The sequence below is a fragment of the Homo sapiens genome, chromosome 3 (genome assembly GCF_000001405.40).
Source record: "Homo sapiens chromosome 3, GRCh38.p14 Primary Assembly".
In the NCBI taxonomy this organism is placed as follows: domain Eukaryota; kingdom Metazoa; phylum Chordata; class Mammalia; order Primates; family Hominidae; genus Homo; species Homo sapiens.
The window spans coordinates 143,840,341-143,859,641 of record NC_000003.12 but is presented as its reverse complement, the minus strand read 5'-3'; the positions used below and the strand labels follow the sequence as shown (position 1 = coordinate 143,859,641).

The 19,301-nt window shown below is 38.3% G+C and overlaps 1 protein-coding gene and 1 pseudogene across 4 annotated transcripts in view; both read left to right on the top strand.

The window, feature by feature from the left end:
* On the top strand, nucleotides 3,477-3,950 carry RPS17P10 (ribosomal protein S17 pseudogene 10; annotated as a pseudogene).
* Nucleotides 11,174-19,301, top strand: part of SLC9A9 (solute carrier family 9 member A9) — a 583,247-nt gene continuing 575,119 nt past the window's right edge. For all 4 annotated transcript variants that reach the window (XM_017006203.2, NM_173653.4, XM_017006202.3 and 1 more), the window contains exon 1: nucleotides 11,174-11,494. In XM_017006203.2, the coding sequence (XP_016861692.1) occupies nucleotides 11,468-11,494 (27 nt within the window). In that variant the 5' untranslated portion in view covers nucleotides 11,174-11,467. The remainder of the gene's footprint in view (nucleotides 11,495-19,301) is intronic.

Below are 19,301 nucleotides of genomic sequence, written 5' to 3'. Positions count from 1 at the left end.
GACTCACCCAAAAGGCTCCTAGATCTGATAAACGAATTCGATAAAGTTTCAGGATACAAAATTAGTGCACACAAATCAGTAGCACTGCCATACACCAACAATGACCAAGCTGAGAATCAAATCAAGAACTCAATCCCTTTTACAATGGCTGCAAAAAAATAAAATATTTAGGAATATACTTAATCGAGTAGGTGAAAGATCTCTACAAGGAAAACCACAAAACACTGCTGAAAGAAATCATAGATGACACAAACAAATGGAAACACATCCCCTACGCATAGATGGGAAGAATCAATATGGTGAAAATGATCGTATTTCCTAAGGCAATCTACAGATTCAATGCAATTCCCATCAAAATACTGTCACATTTATTTATTTTTGTTTTTGTCATAATTCTTCACAGACCTAGAAAAAATAATCCTAAAATTCACATGGAACCAAAAAAGAGCCACATAGCCAAAGCTATACAAAGCAAAAAGAACAAATCTGGAAGCATCACATTACCCGTCTTCAAGCTATACTACAAGGCTATAGTTACTAAAACACCATGGTACTAGTATAAAAATAGTCACATAGACCAATAGAACAGAATACAGAACCCAGAAATAAAGCCAAAAATGTGCAGCCAACTGATCTTTGACAAAGCATACACAAACATAAATTCGGAAAAGGACATCCTATTCAATGAATGGTGCTGGGAAAACTGGCAAGCCACATATGGAAGGATGAAACTGGATCCCCATCTTTCATCTTATGCAAAAATCAATTCAAGCTAGATCAAAGACAAATCTAAGACCTGAAATCATACAAATTCTGGAAACATTGGAAAAACTTTTCTGGACATTGGCTTGGACAAACAATTTATGACTAAAACCCCAAAAGCAAATGCAACAAAAACAAAAATAAATAACTGTGACCTAATTAAACTAACAAGCTTCTACACAGCAAAAGAAATAACCGACAGAGCAAACAGACAGCCCACAGTGTGAGAGAAAATATTTGCAAACTAGGCATCCAAAAAAGGACTAGTATCCAGAATCTACAAAGAACTCAAACAAATTAGCAAGGAATAAAACAAATAATCCCATCAAGAAGTGAGCAAAGGATATAAATAGACATTTCTCAAAAGAAGACATACAAACAGCTAACAAATATATACAAAAATGCTCAACAGTACTAACCCTCAGGGAAATGTAAATTAAAATCACAATGAGATACCACCTGATTCCTGCAAGAATAGCCATTATTAAAAAGTCAAAAAACAATAGATGTTGGTATGGTTGTGGTGAAAAGGGAACACTTTTATACTGCTGGTATAATTTACATTGTATTAGTGTAAATTAGTACAACCACTATTGAAAACAGTGTGAAGATTCCTTAAAGAATTAAAAGAAGCTCTACCATTCGATCCAGCAATCCCACTACTGGGTGTCTACCCAATGGAAAAGAAGTCATCGTACAAAAAAGATACATGCACATGCATGTTTATAGCAGCACAATTCTCAATTGCAAAGATGTGGAACCAAACTGAGTGCCCATCAACCAACAAATGGATAAAGAAAATGTAATATATATACACCATGGAATACTTCTCAGCCATAAAGCAAAATGAAATAATGTCTTTTGCAGCAACTCAGATGGAGCTGGAGGCCATTATTTTAAGTGAAGTAACTCAGGAATGGAAAACCAAATATTATATATTCTCACTTGTAAGTGGGAGCTAAGCTATGAGGACGTAAAGGCGTAAAGATGATATAATGGACTAAAGAACTTATCCATGTAACCAAAATCACCTGTATCTCAAACTATTGAAATAAAAAAAGTTTGAATTATGTAAATGATAATATAGAAAAATATATGGGTAGAGAAAACAATGAAATAAAAAAGATAAACAGAAAAAGAGCATAATGATTCCTACTTAGAAATATCTGCAGTGGCTTTAGTTAGGGCTTTGCTGAGGGTAATCCTCCAAATGAGGCCACTAGGGTAATGGGAGAGAACTTTATCCATAAAACAGAGTTCCCAGATGAAAAGAACTCCAGGACCAAAGCTGCTGCAGTGCAAGGCTAAAACCCTCTTGGAATTCTACTCAACATGGAGCAATAGAGAAGGTAAAGAGGGTGGGATTTCACAGAACGCATATCATGAATGTGCTTAAAGAGGGAATGGAAGATACATTACTAGGCAGCATTCAAGCCCAGGGAGGAATTGGATCCCCCAAATGTGACAATCAAGAGGGAAATAAGAATACATAAAAAAATTGTATTATGAAAAATTTCAACCACTCACAAAAGTAGAGAGAAAAATACCATACGTTCCCATCATGTAGCCCCAGCAACCATAAAATTGTCATTACTTCCGTTTTAACTTTATCTCATAAGATTTTATGAAGGTATATGTTAAAGGTCCAGGTGTCATATCATTTCACCAATAAATAATGAAAAGGCTTTAAACACACTAGATGAACACAGAGAGGACTGGCAAAGCCTTGCATAAAACTGGAGAAGTATCAAGCTGGCACATTTCAAAATTTTAGAAGAAAGTATTTTAAGTGCCACTGTCTATTGGCAAGACAGTGTATACAAGTGATTTCCCCATTGGTGCGGGGAGCTCAATGTTACAATAAATGGGCAATTTCTCACGTGGATTTAAATTCTCTCATAATGACCTCTGGACCAAATGCCCTGTTGATGTCTATATTGGTTAGCCTGAAACAAAAAATATTATATCTATAACTTTGCATTTCTTCATGTTCCTGCCTTTCCCCAAATTGTACTATTTACAAAACTAGGGACAGAAAATCTGGTTTAGGACAGCTGCTCTAGGAGCATGGGATTTGCTCATGCTTCCTGTTTTTTGGCTCAGCATGAGTAATCTGTAGTTGGGTTCGTTCAACTTTGTCGTTGCTGAAGAGTCTATAGACATTCTAGTGCTCCAGAGATGGCCCCAAACATCACAGCTGGTGAAGAAAATCTGGCACCACGAGACTGAGCCCAATCCAACAAAATTAGAAAGCAAAGTCAGAAAAAGTTCAAATTTAGCTTACAGAAGGAAGGGGAATTTGATTTCAAACTTTAGGGCTTTTTCTCACAATTTAATAATCAAATAACATTCAAATTCAGGTGTTTGAATAGTGTATCCGCAATGTATTTTTTGAGTATTTTTTTAAATGGCATACTTTTTTGCTGACGTGGTTAAACACAACTTGTCGTCAACACAATTAAAAAAAAATTGTATAGGAGGAAATGTTAATCCTTTGGTGTGGGGTGAAGTTAAGGCAATTTCGCTGAGTTCCTATTCTCCCTACAGCCTTCAAGTGCAGCAGTTAGGCCACTTTACACACTAGCCCTAGGAGGATACAAAACACGCAACCACATGAACGCAGGAGCAGACCTGCTCAGACACAATGCAGGCTTGCTCTCCCGAGTGGACCAGCCCTGCTCCAACAGGTTTAAAGAAAAAAGACCTGGGGAGAGTTAACAGGGAGCCCTTCACTCACATGGCCACATTTGTACCAAAATCACGAAGAAGGCCACCCAGGTCATCATAGAAAAGTACTGCACGCGCCTAGGCAACGACTTCTACACGAACAAATGTGTGTGCGAGATCGCCATTATCCTCAGCAAGAAGCTCCGCAACAAGATAGTAGGCTATGTCAAGCATCTGATGAAGCGGATTCGGAAGGGCCCAGTGAGAGGTATCTCCATCAAGCTGCAGGAGGAGGAGAGAGAAAACAGAGACAATTATGTTCCCGAGATCTCAGTCCTGGATCAGGAGACCGTTGAAGTAGATCCTGACACTAAGGAAATGCTGGAGCTTTTGGACTTTGTCAGTCTGTCCAACCTGCAGGTCACTCGACCTACAGTTGAGATAAATTTCAAAATGCCTCGGGGAGCTCTTTGAAGCTGTCTGCAATGCTGTAATATTTTCAATAATCCTGGGACAACAGCAAATAAAACAAAACAAAACCCCCTCCCCCACAAAAAACTGAAAAAACAGGGAGCCCTTCTGCTTCTATCCCTACATTTCCACAGTGGTCCACGAAGGAGGAAACTTCTACCTCCACTTCTGACCTCCTGAAAGAGTCATAGAAAGCATATCCCACTCTTAATCCCTTGGATCAGGGATGGTCAGTGGGTGATCCAAGCACCGCATTGGCTGGGCCATGCCTTACTAGAAGTAAGTTTCCTGTGCTGAGGTGCAGAGAAGGTTGAGCCTTTTATCTCTTTATCTGATCAGTCAAAATGAGCGCAGAAGCTTGAGGGGTGGTGGATGTAGCCCTAAGATCCTCTTTCTGGCTGCTGTCTCTGCAAAAGGCAACCCTTCTTCCCCTCTATAGAGAGGTTGAGTACTTGGAAGTAGATTCTACTGTGCAGATAGATTTTACCCCAGCAAGTGTGTCTCAGAGTATGCTGTCCTCGGCTTTCCTGTAGATTTGAAGTGAGATGTGGGAAGCCTCTGGTCTAAGCCGCATTATCAAACAAAGTTCACCAAAAGCCTTACATTCTTGGTGTACCCTGTTCTTGTCAGCTGTCTATTTTGTGTGTATTCTCTTTTGGTTATCATGGTGGAAAGGAAAGGCCTGAGGTTTTGGCTATTGAATCTCTAACAGAACAATTTTGTTTTTCACTTAGAAATAAATCTAGTTTTAAGAGTAGATTTTGGTGGAATCCAATACTGTTTGAATCTTAAATTCCTGATAATTAATTGGTTCTGCTTTTTCCCATTTCAACAATTCTCAAGATTATAGTGTCATAAAGGACATGGCTTAAGTAAGAAGCTAGGAAGACATTTTTTGTTTTTTGTTTTTTTTTTTTACAGAAAGAATATTCCTTTAACATTTAAAAACTGTATGTTATTTATAGTCCCTCAATTTTGAAGCCCAAATACCCTGCTGAAAAACTTTTAAAATTACCCTTTTAGCAAGGATTCAAAAGGTAAGCAAATATTCATAATTCATAGTCTTTTTAGTGATTTTGTTGAGGAACCTGGGAATCTCGAAGAGCCTCTCCAACAGCTGCTAGAACACAATGTTTCTGTTACAGGTTTAATTGAGATTTATAGGTTCTGATTATATTCTGAGAAACAGTTCTTTTCCACACCTAGAGTTTAGAAATGACTGTCAGTTACTTAGATACTGGAGCTTCTGACTGGATAGTAGAAGTGTCATTATTTGTGAATTCATATTTATCCTAGCCAACAAAGAAACATTCTTGAAGCTACATATGATGTAACCAAAAAATTGTCATTGTATGCTCCATCTTTCTTTGTGAATTTATTTTTTTTCCCCACAGTAACGCAGGACATTTTTATAGAAATAAAATCACATTGTCCTATGACATCCATTAAAACCTGTTGGTCTGGATTTAAATGAATATGTAACCACCTGTTGTTGATTTAAAATTCATTTGTAGGAAGACCTTGGGTGATAGGGTGGGGCACAGTGTATGTGTTTGTGTGTGATACACCAAGTCACAGTCTTCAAAGAGTCTCAGAGTAGTTTTAAACTTTTAACTTAAAACTTTTACTTTAGATATAGTGTTAACATCAGAAAATTGTATTTCAAAGTAAATTGAATTTTCTCTGCACAGGTGACATGTAGTTTTAACTCTGCTGGCCATGGAACATGATTTACCTTCTTATCTAAGAGAACCATAGTGTTTGTCATAGAATTTATTATGTAATTTAGTTGGCTTAAGTGTAAATAAAATTCATCTTAGGTGCTACTTAAGGATTGCTTTGAGCATAGCTATAAATTATTAAAGTTTCAAAGTTCACAAACCATATACAGAATTGAATGAAATGAGGAATGAATGAGGCTTCAATGCAAATTAAAATTTTATTTTTGAAAAATGGTATTTTCTAGTCTTTGTGCAAACTTCTTCACTTGGGATTCCTTGGATCCTCTCCTAAATAAACTACCTGCAAGTCCTTGTCTCAAGGTCTGCTTTGAGGGAACTCACATAGAGACACCCTCTAACAAAGGCTGCCTCAAAGGCTAGATTTTGAATTGATATGGGAAAAACTAAGGGGTGAAACTATCCAAATCTGCTTGATTTTGACATACTTCATTTCAGAAAATATTTCCAAGCGTATTCAGCTTCTCCTAGTCTGGAGCTTTGTCTTCTCTCCTAAGTCTCTTTTTCTCTTTAGAGAAAAATGTAGAGATCCGGGAGAGGTGAGGGGCATGATGCCTTTCTTTGTTAGTTTTTACAAAAATTTTATAATTTAACACATAGTGTCTTTTAGCTAGTGAGGTCAGAATTATTACTTGGTGAGATACAGAGTAGCAGTTATATTCTAAGAAGAATGCAAATTTATCAAGTGGACACTTAATGGGAGATCAAAGAAATGAATTTTCTCAGCTCTTATTTCAGAAATTTTGTGCTAAAACAAGTTGCAGCATGGAATAGCATGTCTCCATCTTTTCCTTCTTGGCCTTGGCTCCAGAGCTCACTTCTTTTCACCCATGAAGTCTTTATCTTGGGTTAGGAGTAGGTTCCAGCCACTGTGATGAGCCCGCATTACCTCTGCCTTATGCAGAACCAGCAGAGACTGAATAAAACAAGAAGCCCGTGAGTGAATTTTTTTTCTCATGATGGGCCCTCCAAGATGTGCAAGACAGAAGAGGGGACCTATAGACTGAAGTTTATTATTTCTATTGAAGAGGTGTCCTTTCTAAAAGAAAAGAGATGATGTGCTGTGGACAGAAAGCTGAGGACAAAAGCAGGGGATTGCAGGAAACAGGGTGAAGAGGGCCTGAGTTGGGAATCAAGGGATTTGCATCTGGGACCCTCCTTATTCCCCAGGCTTCAGCTGTAAGATTGTCCCCCCTTTGATGACATAGGGATGACATGACTGGATCACAGGCATTGTGTCAGATTTGCTTCAACCTGGCTGTATACAGTTTTGGGACTCTTCAATGAAAAAAATACCTAAATAACATCCAGTACGCATTGGGTGGGCCAAGGCCAGCCAAATAGCCTCTAGTGCAGGTGGAAGAAGATTCCCCTTTTCTCTGGTCGTCACTGAGTGATGGACTTCTGAGCATCAAGAATCAACACAGAGATAACAGTTCACAGAGGGAAACAGTGAGGTCTGCACCCATTTTTCCCTCCTCAGAGAATGGCTGGAATGCACTTGTTGGGTAGAAGAAGGAAAGGATCCCCTATCCATGCCACACACATTTCTACACTTGCATTGTTAATAAAATGATTCAAATTCTCTAATTTAACTCGTTTTCAGTGATTTTTAATCTCACCTTCCCACTATAATGAAGAGCAGTGGAAAGAACATGGAGTTGGGGTCACATCCTGGGTTCATGGCCCTGGATCCCACAGACCAGACTTTGTAAAGGCTGAAGGAAAGAAACCAAGCATTGAACAGTGAATTTGGGGTGGGCTTAATATTGTCCAAGTGTTTACTATGGGATTTAATTACCCGTGAAATTTTTGAACTTTCATTTCTCTATGGAAATATACTAATGGGAGGGGTCCATATTATTCAAATTTAGGGGCAACTTATGCTAACATGTGACTTTTTTCAGGTGGGGACAGCTAAGATAGGTCTATGGTGAGCTTGAAAATAGGATAGGGGATGAATTTTGGGATGAGGACATCGTGTGGCTTTCAAGCAAACTTAATTACAGTCCTGTCCTGGCCCATTTCAGAAGCTTGGAGTAGGGTGGGGCAAAATATGAAACTTCCATTTCACTGGTCTCAGAGAGGGATAAATAGCAAGGGAAAGGCCACATGAATGAGACGGTGGAATTTTCCTATAACCCAGGGCCTGTGTTGTCTGAAGTATTCTCTGTTAACACTAGGGGCTGAGAGAGAACTAAGACTGGGCATTGTGGAGCTCCAGGGAGATGGAGAGGGGACTTCTCAGTATGTCTCCCTACCCAAAGCAAACTTAGCTTCTCGACACCCTGACCCCACAATCTTCAATGACCTCTTACAAGAATGAGGAGCTCTCAAGTGATTGGTTAGATTCTGTAAAGCTGATTGGATCCCATTCACTAATGGGTGAGATTACCGCACCATGCAAAGTTACACTGGCCTGGGAGGTTCCACTCTTCAGTTCTTTCTTTCATTGTGGCTGGATGGGCAAGCTGAGACAGGGCACACTGACTGCAACAGGCTGGGCCATCCTGTTCTTTCTCTTTGCTGCTTCTCACTTGCGTGTCGCATCTTGCAGTAGCCAGCAGGTATTAATATTGAGATTTAGGGACAGTCAAGAATTCCTCTTTGGTCCTTGTGCCTAAGTTTTGAGTCCATCCCAATTTTATCTGAGAACCTGGAACTAATGATCCTGGTTACCAGGTCACAAAACAGCATGTAATTTTTAACTGATATTGTTTCTTGTGTGAATATCTCCTTCAGGAATCTCATGAAAAATAGTGATTACTGACAGTACAGGATTTGAGAATTTGAGGAACTTTGGCTGTTAGAGTGACCAAGTTTGCTTGTTTGTCTGTGAGTGAGGGGGTTTCCTGGGACACACAACTTTCAGTAGTAAACCAGGAAAGTCCCTGATAAGCTAGGATGAGTTGATCACCCTGGCTGAAAAGCCATCTAAAGGCCAATACACCCCACATGCAATTTAACTCCTACTGGCTGTGTGACCTTGGCTATGTTGCCAAATCTCCCTGAGCCTTAAATTACTCACCAGGAGAAGGGTGAGTATTTTCTGCACATTAAATTAGACTAAGTTAAATTCCTTGGCATATTTTCTGGTCCATAGTAGACTCTCTATTGTTACATGTTTCCATTTTATTTTCTCACTTACGTTGGTACAGCAAAATAAAAAATGATATTCTAAAAAGAAAACACAAAATAGGAAGAATTGAATTCCTTTTCTGGATGGAGGAATTGGAGATGTTTCCTGAGCCCCTTTTCTTCAAGCTTTTCCCCCCAATGTGAAGCAGCATCAGGAATGAACAATGGAATAGTGAATGTACTCCATTCCTGGAATAAAGCAGGGGTCATACATTCAAACATCTGCAGGGGCCACACGGGGACCATGAATGAAAGAAGAGGGATGAATGGACTTGTGGCAAGCTGGTTGCAAATGCAGCAGGCAACCACTCAGCCCCAACAGATTGTGGCCATGTAAGAAGGGCCCAGTGTGCCAGATCTTACAAGTTTTTCTTGCAAAAAGCCATATGATTTTTTAAATGTTAAATATACTGATTTGAATGTGTTGACATCAAACCTAAAACTTTTTAAAAAGACGTGTAAGCCAATCAAAACATTCTATGGGCCATTAATCTTTTGTCAAGTTGCTTCATTGGTTAAAAGAGTGAAACTGGATGTCACGGATCAACCAGAGAATGTTTATTCTACTCAGATGGAATAATTGTGATAAAAGAAAACCAAAGTAATTCAATAATGACAAAAAACAAAAGGACAGGAAGTTTCTGAATTTGTGTTATCTTGTATATCTGACAACTCGACTGAACCTGTGGAGTTGCAAAATCATAAAGGTAGAACCTGCTAGCAAAGCTCCATGAAATGCTTGCAAGCATTAGCTGATAGGTTTCAAAACAGTATGAATATTAGTCATCACAGATATTCCTGCCAAAAAGGGTAGCGTGTCAGAAGAACATCTGCAGCACACATAAATACCCTCTGCTAAGTTAAACTCAGAGAGGAAATAAGCTTCCAAAGTTGCACAAAGCAAAGATGCTGAAACAGCAGAGCTTTGTATTAAGGGGTTGATAGACTTGCTCTCATGGTGAAACTGTTTGTTGAGGAGGTAGTTAGCTCCCAATAATATTACATGCTTGACCTTTAGCTTTTAGTGACAAAAATTGTTTCAGGACGCATTTGGGCTCAGCCTACTCAATAAGAAATCACATTGTATAAATTGAGCATTAATTGTGTCAAAATGGGGATCATAAGTGATTAATACTCCCAAATTACAATGATATGGTAAAATGAAAAAAAAAATCAGCTAACCCCAGGATATACCCAAATGTGTTATAGGATCAAGTGTTAAAAGCAAGCAGGTCATAATATTTGCTAAGAAAAAAGAAAGAAAAGGAAAAAAAAGCTGCAGAACCCATGGTATTATCTTGAACTATTTTAAAGTAGAAAAATATGAAATCAGACAGGAGCAACCTGCCACATGGAAGATGATCTGAAGAATCATCACTCTTATGATCAGAATCCTGTGAATACAGAGCTTTCATTTCTGGTGGCAGAACCATTTCTCAGTGAGCAACATTGTTTTGCCATAGGACAGAGGAGGTTGTGATCTATTGCAGATTTCTGTGGGTCCTGGATGCCGAGACCAGGAACCCTACAAAGAGAAATCCATGCATGTGGCGTTGCTGAGGATGGCTGCGTGAGTTTCTCTTTCGAAGTAATGTGTTTTGTTTTTTTTCTTTTTTGTCTCAACGTATCCAAACAGTACAGTTGTAGAGATGGGGATGGAATTTTATTTGTCTTTTGCTTTCATTGTTTTCTCTTGTTAAAAGAAAAACAATTGATTTAGAGTTTAAAGGCTGCTCTGCAACTATCAATTATATAAAGCCAAATAGAGTCATATACTAAATCCTTTCTTGCTTCTCAACTAAAAAAAAAAAAAAAAAATCCTGTGAAATCACTTTAGGTTTGCTTAACCAATGTACAGTCATGATTTGAGAGCATAAGAAACCCTATAAGAAACCCTATGCCTTAAGTGAATCCCATTGTGAGATACTTGAGCTATGAGGCGGAAGTTTCAGGCTAAGCAGTGTAATATCTTTTCAGGAGGCTAATATGCTGATCCATTTAGAGCACAGAGGCTGATTGATAACTGTGCTATCAATCCCCATCACTTTGGCAGGTCTTGGTTAGAGAGGAAAGATCTTGCATTTAGGTGAAGTTGAGTCAGGAATTGGCTTTTTGAACTTAGAAAACGTTGCTAGTGTAAGGCTACCTTTTTTATTATTAATCTACAGTTCATATTTATGCAGCTTAAGAAGACTTATTTGGAATAATAAGACCGTGATTCAAGATCTTAGCATCATTGCTTGCAGATTTGTCCAGTATGAAAGATATTTTCATGAGATGAATCACTTAAAGACATTAAGAGTCAGTGATGAAACCACACACTCTCGAGTTTGAAAAGAGACAGGGCTGCTTTAAGAGAGAAACAGGAAGTTGTAACTAGAAGCCATCTGAATACTAAGCCAGGGCAGAATGCTTGTGAAGTAGCAACTAAAGTGGCAGTGTTTCTTCTGAAATTCTCAGGCAGTCAGACTGTCTTAGGCAAATCTTGATAAAATAGCCTTTATCCAGGTTTTTATCTAAGGAATCCCAAGAAGACTGGGGAATGGAGAGACAGTCAAGGGTTATGTCAGAAAAGGATGAGTATCAGTTTCAACATCAGGGAGCGGTGGAGCTGCTTGTCTTCAATTTTTTGCTCATCCTTACCATTTTGACAATCTGGTTATTTAAAAATCATCGATTCCGCTTCTTGCATGAAACTGGAGGAGCAATGGTGTATGGTGAGTGCATAAATTGTGAGATTGATGTGAAACTTGTTGCTTGAGCGTAATTAGAGACTTGTGCTCAGATAGCAAAGTACCGAAACTGGAGAAAATGTGCTGATTGAAATGTCATTAGTTTGATGAAAGGTGCTGCAGCGTAACGAATGCTAATCTCTTTACAGACAAGCCGCCGAAATTTGCCATGTCACGAGAGCAAATGTCACAGTCATGTTCTCACACGGCACATAATGCAAGTCTGTTGACAGATGCGGGTCCATTGTCATGTGGGGAGTCGAGGGCGAGCTGTTTGTTTTTGTAATGATGTTGGGAAGTGATGGCTCTGCAGTCACAAAGAGCAGCCTTCTCTCACTGGCTGCACCGATGAACATTACGAAGTTCTAGAAAAAACATCACTTCAAAATGCCTGGAGTAATTCCTCTTATATCAACTAATTTCAAGAAGAAAACTTGCAGAAACTAACCCCACCCCTCTTAAGAGAATATTGTGTCCAAGTCCTTTTTATTTATACGAACAGTGTCTTATTTTCTTATAATAAAAAGTTATAAATAAACGAGAGTTTCTTTATGCAGTACTTTTTACTTCTTAGCCTGATTTCAGATGTTCTAATTTATAATGATCATTGCTAGTGTTATTTGTTATGTATCTCCTATTTATGTATTGGAGGCCAAGGTGTGGAAAAATATTTAACACCTGCAGTATTGCTCTTTCTGGGCAACTTACCGTATCATTCCTTTCAGAAAGTTTAATAAAGTCTGACAGAGATTATCTGTCTGTACTCTCATCTTTTAAAGTAAAATGAAAGACACCAGTTTTTACTGGTGTTACTGATGAAATAGTTTACTTCACTGCTCTTATCTCAGCCTGATAATGGATAGGAAGTTTGAACACAATGGCAACAGGCAAGGCATTGCTATAATTTATAGCAAATAACATACTTTTATATTTGGGGTTTCCTCATTTTGGAAATCCTGAAACCCTTTCCTAAGCCTGAGATTCAGGGTACAGATCAATGCACATTGTATATGCTAATCCTGTGGTGTCCTGATATTAACAGTGTATAGTTGTGATTTCAGAACCTAAGGAATCCTAAGCCTTAAGTGGATCCCACTGTGAGATACTTGAGCTATAAGGCGGAAGTTTCAGGCTCAGGAGGCTGATATGCTGATCCATTCAGAGCACAGAGTTAAATTCCTTGGTACTGAGGGTCTTTTAAAAATTTTTTGCTTGGGAGTGGGGAGGGACAGCATTAGGAGATATACCTGATGTTAAATGACGAGTTAATGGGTGCAGCACACCAACATGGCACATGTATACATATGTAACTAACCTGCACGTTGTGCACATGTACCCTAAAACTTAAAGTATAATTAAAAAAAGAAAAAAAACATAACCCAAATGCAAAAAAAAAAAAAACCTTTTTTTGCTGTATTGTTTTATTTATTTTTTAAAATTTAGTGGAGACAGGGTCTCACTATGTTGCCCAGGCTGGTCTCCAACTCCTGGCCTAAAGAGATCCACTGACCTTGGCCTCCCAAAATGCTGGCATTACGGGCATGAGCCACCATTCCCAGCCAGTATTGAGGGTCTTAACGGGCACAAGAAAACTCTCATTTAAGAGAAAAAAAAAATCACAATCAGGTGGGAGAGAAATAGCCAAACAAAAAGGAGGGGATGCCATCAGATGTGAAGCCCTAGGTTCCTGTCATTTGCCTATCTCCATCATGAACAGAATTTTTCTCTTGACTTGACTAATAAGTAATCTGCAAGGATATGGAATAGAATCTGAGAAGCCAGAAACAATGTAATTCTTGATATCATATTAAAGGGACATATGTGCTTTAGCAAAACTACCCAGATTTAATAGATTGCCAACCTTTATTAGAGGGAAAGATTTCTTCACATCCCTGAATTTGATTGAACTATGACTCATTTACCAAGTTCAATGGTGGGGATATTGTTTTCGTAAAAGTTTTGATAACCTACTAAAATTCAGTCATGTTTTGCATTCACAATACATACAGTAACTCTTACTTTTGAATCTGAAAAATTCCAGGTTACCTTTAATCCTGCAAAACTCTCTGAAATATTTTTAAATTGTGCTTGAAATAATAAAATAGTAGTTCATTGACCACTGCTATTGAGGTAGCATTTCTCTAAATTGCTGTTCTTAAGGCAGATAAAGGCTTAAAGTTTATGAGTGGAATTAAGTTGGGTTCTCTGATTCCTATTCTTCTTTCATGAGTTTTTTAAAGTAAAAGTTATTGAAAGCAAATTCTGAACCAGTGCAATGTAAAAGGATTATAAAAATTATGGAGATATGCATATATATGTATTCTCTTACTAGAAATTTTGAGTATCTTTCAGTTATCTTGAACTATATAGATCAATGAAAAGACATATTTTAGTGATGTTTAACTTTTTCTTGGCATAGAATCATAATTGTTAGGATGTCAAAGAATTTTAGAGGTTATCTTCTCTATCCCCTTTATTTTAGAGAGGCAGAAGCTGAATCCCAGAGAAGTGAAGGGACTTTCCAAAACTGAATAGCCACTCATGACTGGTCCATGTGCTTTCACTCATCTGCATGTCTTACTAAGGTTCACGTTCACCTGAAAGAACTCTCCCTGTGTTTTCTGAAAGTACTCCATATGGGTGGCATTCATGACTTGTCACATTTCTTCTTCAGGGATGTCCTAAATGTTATATCTTAAATGCTTATTAGGAACTTTCTATCAGTAATGTAATAAAATAGTCTGAAACTACACCAGAGGAACATGATGGGATACTGTAGTAAACACTTTTTAATGATAGGGGAAAGGAGATGCCAAGTGAATTAATTGTCCAACAGCTATAAATGAACTTGGAATCATAGATGGGGAAGGAGCCTTAAAGATCATAAATCCAGCATTCTCATTTTGCAGACAAACAAATGAAGACTTAGAGAGATAAAAGTCGTGTAATTAGTTAGCTGTTGAGGTGGGATTCAACCTCCATCTCTTTAATAAGAGATGCTAAGATATTTAAAAATAAGTAAATTATTGCAATAATTTTCCTGGAGAAAGGATGTGTCTGTGGGATCTAGATGCATCCTCATATGGTTAAGCTTTCAGGATTAGCCAGATTCTCTTTTCCAGGAGGTCTAAAAGAGTGAATTTTCAGCATCCCACATTGTACTATCCCCCTTTCCATTAAAGGATTAAACTCTTAGCTTTTGCAAGAGCAGGGGGGCATGGTGATAACTAATGGGGAAGAAAAGAAACAAAACTATGTTTAAAACTTAAGCTTTTTGAGCTATGATTGTGCCACTTCACTCCAGCCTTCACTCGAGCCTAGGTGACAGAGTGAGACTGTGTCAGAAAGAAAGAAAGAAAGAAAGAAAGAAAGAAAGAAAGAAAGAAAGAAAGAAAGAAAGAAAGAAAGAAAGAAAGAAAGAGAAAGAAAGTTAAACTTTTAAAATTTCTTGTTCTTAAGGAAGTGAACATTTGAGAGTAGACTGTAACAGTCATCTCCGTGCTACAGACACATATGCTTGTAATGAAATATATTTTAAGATTTAGTGGACCTGCACCTAATGCTTATCAATGAATTTGGCTAGCAACTCCCCTACTCCACCGAGTACTGTTCTTGCTCTCACTATTTGTATAATGTATTACTTGTCCTGTATCAAGAATGATAAATGTTTTTCCCCAGCATCAAATTTCCTATAATACTTCAGCCTATTCTGCCATCTGCTTTTCTGCCAGTATTCCTTTGACATGTGTCAAATGTTCTTTAGAAGACTCGATAGATGTTGAGTCTATTTTATCAATGTACCTGAGAGTCCAATTTAAAAATTCTAGAGAACAGGGGCTTAGAAAACAAGCAGTTTAAAAAATGCAGAGAAAAGTGATCAAGCAGAATGTTTAATGTTCTTTTATATTTCTTGTTAGAAATAATTTTCAAGTTGCTAATCTTAAAATATCATATGAACACTTGTAGAGACCAAGAAAAATTGTGTGGCATTTGGCTAGACTCTGTGTCAATCAGAGATTCATATGATACTCCAAATAGTATAAATAATCCATTATATAAAAAATAGGTTTTTCTTATTATTAAGGGTCATAGGAAGCTTATAAAAATTAGTGGCAGCTTTATAACCATATTTTTGCTTCACCAGGAACAGTAATGGGTAATCTATTATGATATTCGATGGTTCTCATTTCAAAATTGAAGGATTAGAATCCATAACTGGTTTAAAATATAAGCCATAATGATACTCATTTAAATTGGACTGGAAGCATAAATGACAATTAGCGGTTAAAGTATTGATTGACAGCAGCTGGTGCACTTAGTACCACTCACTTAGGGCCTGTATCCCCTGTTCAGTGCTCATAAAAGAAATTTGCTCCTTGCTCCCTGACAGCATTAAGAATTCCATTATATATCACTGGGGGCTGCCATACTTTACAGGACATTTATAATCCTGTGCATTTGAGGGCTGGGATCTGAGCTTAGGGACAGAGCAATTTAAACCTCTTAGAATTCTGCCTTTGACTTCCTGGCCTTCCCATAGAAGTTAGTCTGAATTCATGTAAAAATTGTGGCCACTGTTTAGTGGGCACATAACAAATTTCAAGGCACTAAGTTTACATTTTGAATTCATTAAACTATATCATATTAAAGCGTTTTCAGATTCTTTAAGAATGTGCTTAACAGTTAAGTAGGACAAATTTAATTCACTCAACACCAAGTTTTTCAAGATTTAAAGAAAATACAGTTACATAGTGAATCATCAAGGATTGAAAAATTATCTTTTCTGAAAAATCTTCTGCAGGCATTAATTTCTTCCTAGCACTCCCTGCAGGTTCCTCAGGATTAAATTGGGTTGTTGGACATGTTGGCTACACCCTCCTGATCCATTTTACCCTCCTCCAGGACAGCCCAGCCTCCCTGACTGCCAGGCCTATGGGAGATGCTTCCTACTACTTCACCCCCTTCCCGCTGGCTGAAGGTCCTTCCAAGGCTCTACTTATTCCACTGTGGCTTTTTTTATAGAGAAAATATTGATGTGCTCCCCTGGAGATTTAAGTTTCTTAATCTTGATGATTTTTTTTTCAGTAGCTAGATGCATTATTTTGGGCAAGTGATGTTACATCTGGCCTTATTTTTCTCATCTATAAAATGGGGAAGAAAGGAACAGATATCACATGTCTCCCTTCCAGCTGCAAAAGTCCTTCAAAATTCAGGCCAAGACTGAGTTCAACCATCAGGCATCTTTCAGCCACTCCAGCCCAAACCAGAAGCTTTCCTTCCAGAACATGGCAGCCTATAATGATATCCAGTCTGTTCTCTCAGACAAGATTTTAGTTAGTGTTATTTCAGCACTGTTAGTACTTCCTGCTTCTGCTCTGATTTTGCAAGGAGTGCTCAGTAAATTCTGTTGAATTCCTGTCAGAAAGGTGAGGAGAACAAGTTAATAGTGAGGACTGGCTATGTATTCCACAGTTTGCAGAAGCATTTTTTATGAAAACAAGAGTAGCTCTGGTTTAATTTTAAGGGATCTGCAGGAAAGGTAATCACGGTTAGGAGCCCAGCATACTAAACTTCTTCTCCCTTTTGGTGTAAAAAACTTGATTTTTAAGGAACTTCAGAGAGTTGTACAATGTTTTCCATGTGTTAATACATTTGCCAGAGACAGGGAAAATAATGGAAGAATGAAAGTCATACTGCACTCTGTATGTTTTTTTATGTTTTTGGGGGTTTTTGTTTGTTTGTTTGCTTTTTTGAGACGGAGTCTCGCTCTGTCACCCAGGCTAGAGTACAGTGGCACAATCTCGGCTCACTGCCACCTCCGCCTCCCAGGTTCACGCCATTCTCCTGCCTCAGCCTCCTGAGTAGTTGGGACTACAGGCGCCCACCACCACGCCTGGCTAACTTTTTTGTGTTTTTAGTAGAGATGGGGTTTCACTGTGTTAGCCAGGATGGTCTTGATCTCCTGACCTCGTGATCTGCCTGCCTCAGCCTCCCAAAGTGCTGGGATTACAGGCGTGAGCCACCGCGCCCGGCCTGCACTCTGTATGTTTTTAAAAGTTGATTTTAAGAAAATAGCCGGGCCAGGCATGATGGCTCACTCCTGTAATCCCAGCACTTTGGGAGGCCGAGGCAAGTGGATCACCTGAGGTCAGGAGTTCGAGAGCAGCCTGACCAACATGATGAAACTCTGTCTTTACTAAAAAATACAAAAATTAGCCAGGTATAGTGGCGGATGCCTGTAATCCGAGCTACTCGGGAGGCCGAGGCAGGAGAATTGCTTGAACTCAGGATGCGGAGGTTGCAGTGAGCCGAGATTGCACCACTGCACTCCAACCTAGGTGACGGGAAGACTGTATCAAAAAAGAAAAATAAAGAAAAGAGCCTCTATATTTTGGATAAGTAAACTAAATAAATGAATAAACTATATTCTGAATCTCAAAGAAGCTATAGATGAAACTTTACTGCAAACTACTGTGGTGCCTCGAAGGACTCCCCCCTCAGTGTTTGAAAGGCTAATGAATGTGCATATCAAGAAAATAGATTTATGATTCAAATTATTTATGTAGATATCATATACCATCTACATTGAATTAATGTTACATAGTTAATGAAGTGGGGATATGGAGAGCTGATGTTTGTTAAACATCTATTATGTCAAAAAGTTGATATACAAAAATAAAAATAGCTAACACAAATAGCATTCCTGATATAAACTATGCTATTATAAGCACTTTACATATATTAACGCATTTAATCCTCACAACAACCATTTTTTAGGTAGGAAAACTGAGGTAATAAAACATTAAGTAACTTGCCTGAAGTTGCACATGTACTAAATGCCAGGGCTAGGTCTCAAACCTTAGCAGTTTGGCTTCATGTGGTCATCTGCTATCTTAAACGTAGGTGTGTTTGTGTGTGTGTGTGCGTGTGTGTATGTGTAGGGGGTGTGTTATCATTTTCATATTACAGATAAGGAAACCAACACTGAGAGAGAGAAGGTAACTTGCTGATAATCAACAGGGCTGTACTCAACTTCAGGACTATATAACCTCTGTTCTTTCACCTCTATCGCTTATGTAGTCCTAGAATAATTGCTGTTTTTTAATTAACTGTTCGCTCCGTGCCAGATGATGGTACCTTAGGAAGTTTACAGAAGAGAGGTAGAGATTGAGATATGTAACTATATGCATTATCACTAATCCTCACAACAACCATGCTAAATAGGCAAGATCATCTTTAGTTTGCATATAAGGAAACAGAAACTCAGAAAACTTATGACTTAACCAACTCTGCCCAGAATAATTGGCAAGAACACTCTTTTGAAAGCGTGCACTCTCAAATTCTGGCTGCAGTCGTTCTCTCATCCAAGTCTGCTCTTGATATGCAACTGTCCCATGAAGTCAGGGTAGGGAATGATTGAAGGTAAAAGTAGTTAAGTTTCTTCTCTACCTTGAAGCCTCTGAAATGTTCCACTGTCTATAGCAAAAAGCCCACTGTGGGAAACAGAATGGGGGCAAAACTATGAAAATACATCCATATTAAGTAGCTGGAGTTGAAATATTCCAAGCCTACCTGGAAACATTGTCCCAGCTTGAGGGATAGTCATGTTGCAAGTTCATGGTCTTTCTGGTTTTAAATGCCTATGGTTGAAACAATGGGTGGGACAGGTACTATAAATAGTTTGAGAAGGGACTGTGAATTTATATGAATCATGCAAAATAGGCTTTCATCATATGTTAGTTAAACTGAATTTAATTTTTGGAAGATACTGAAGGTAGAACCATTAACTATG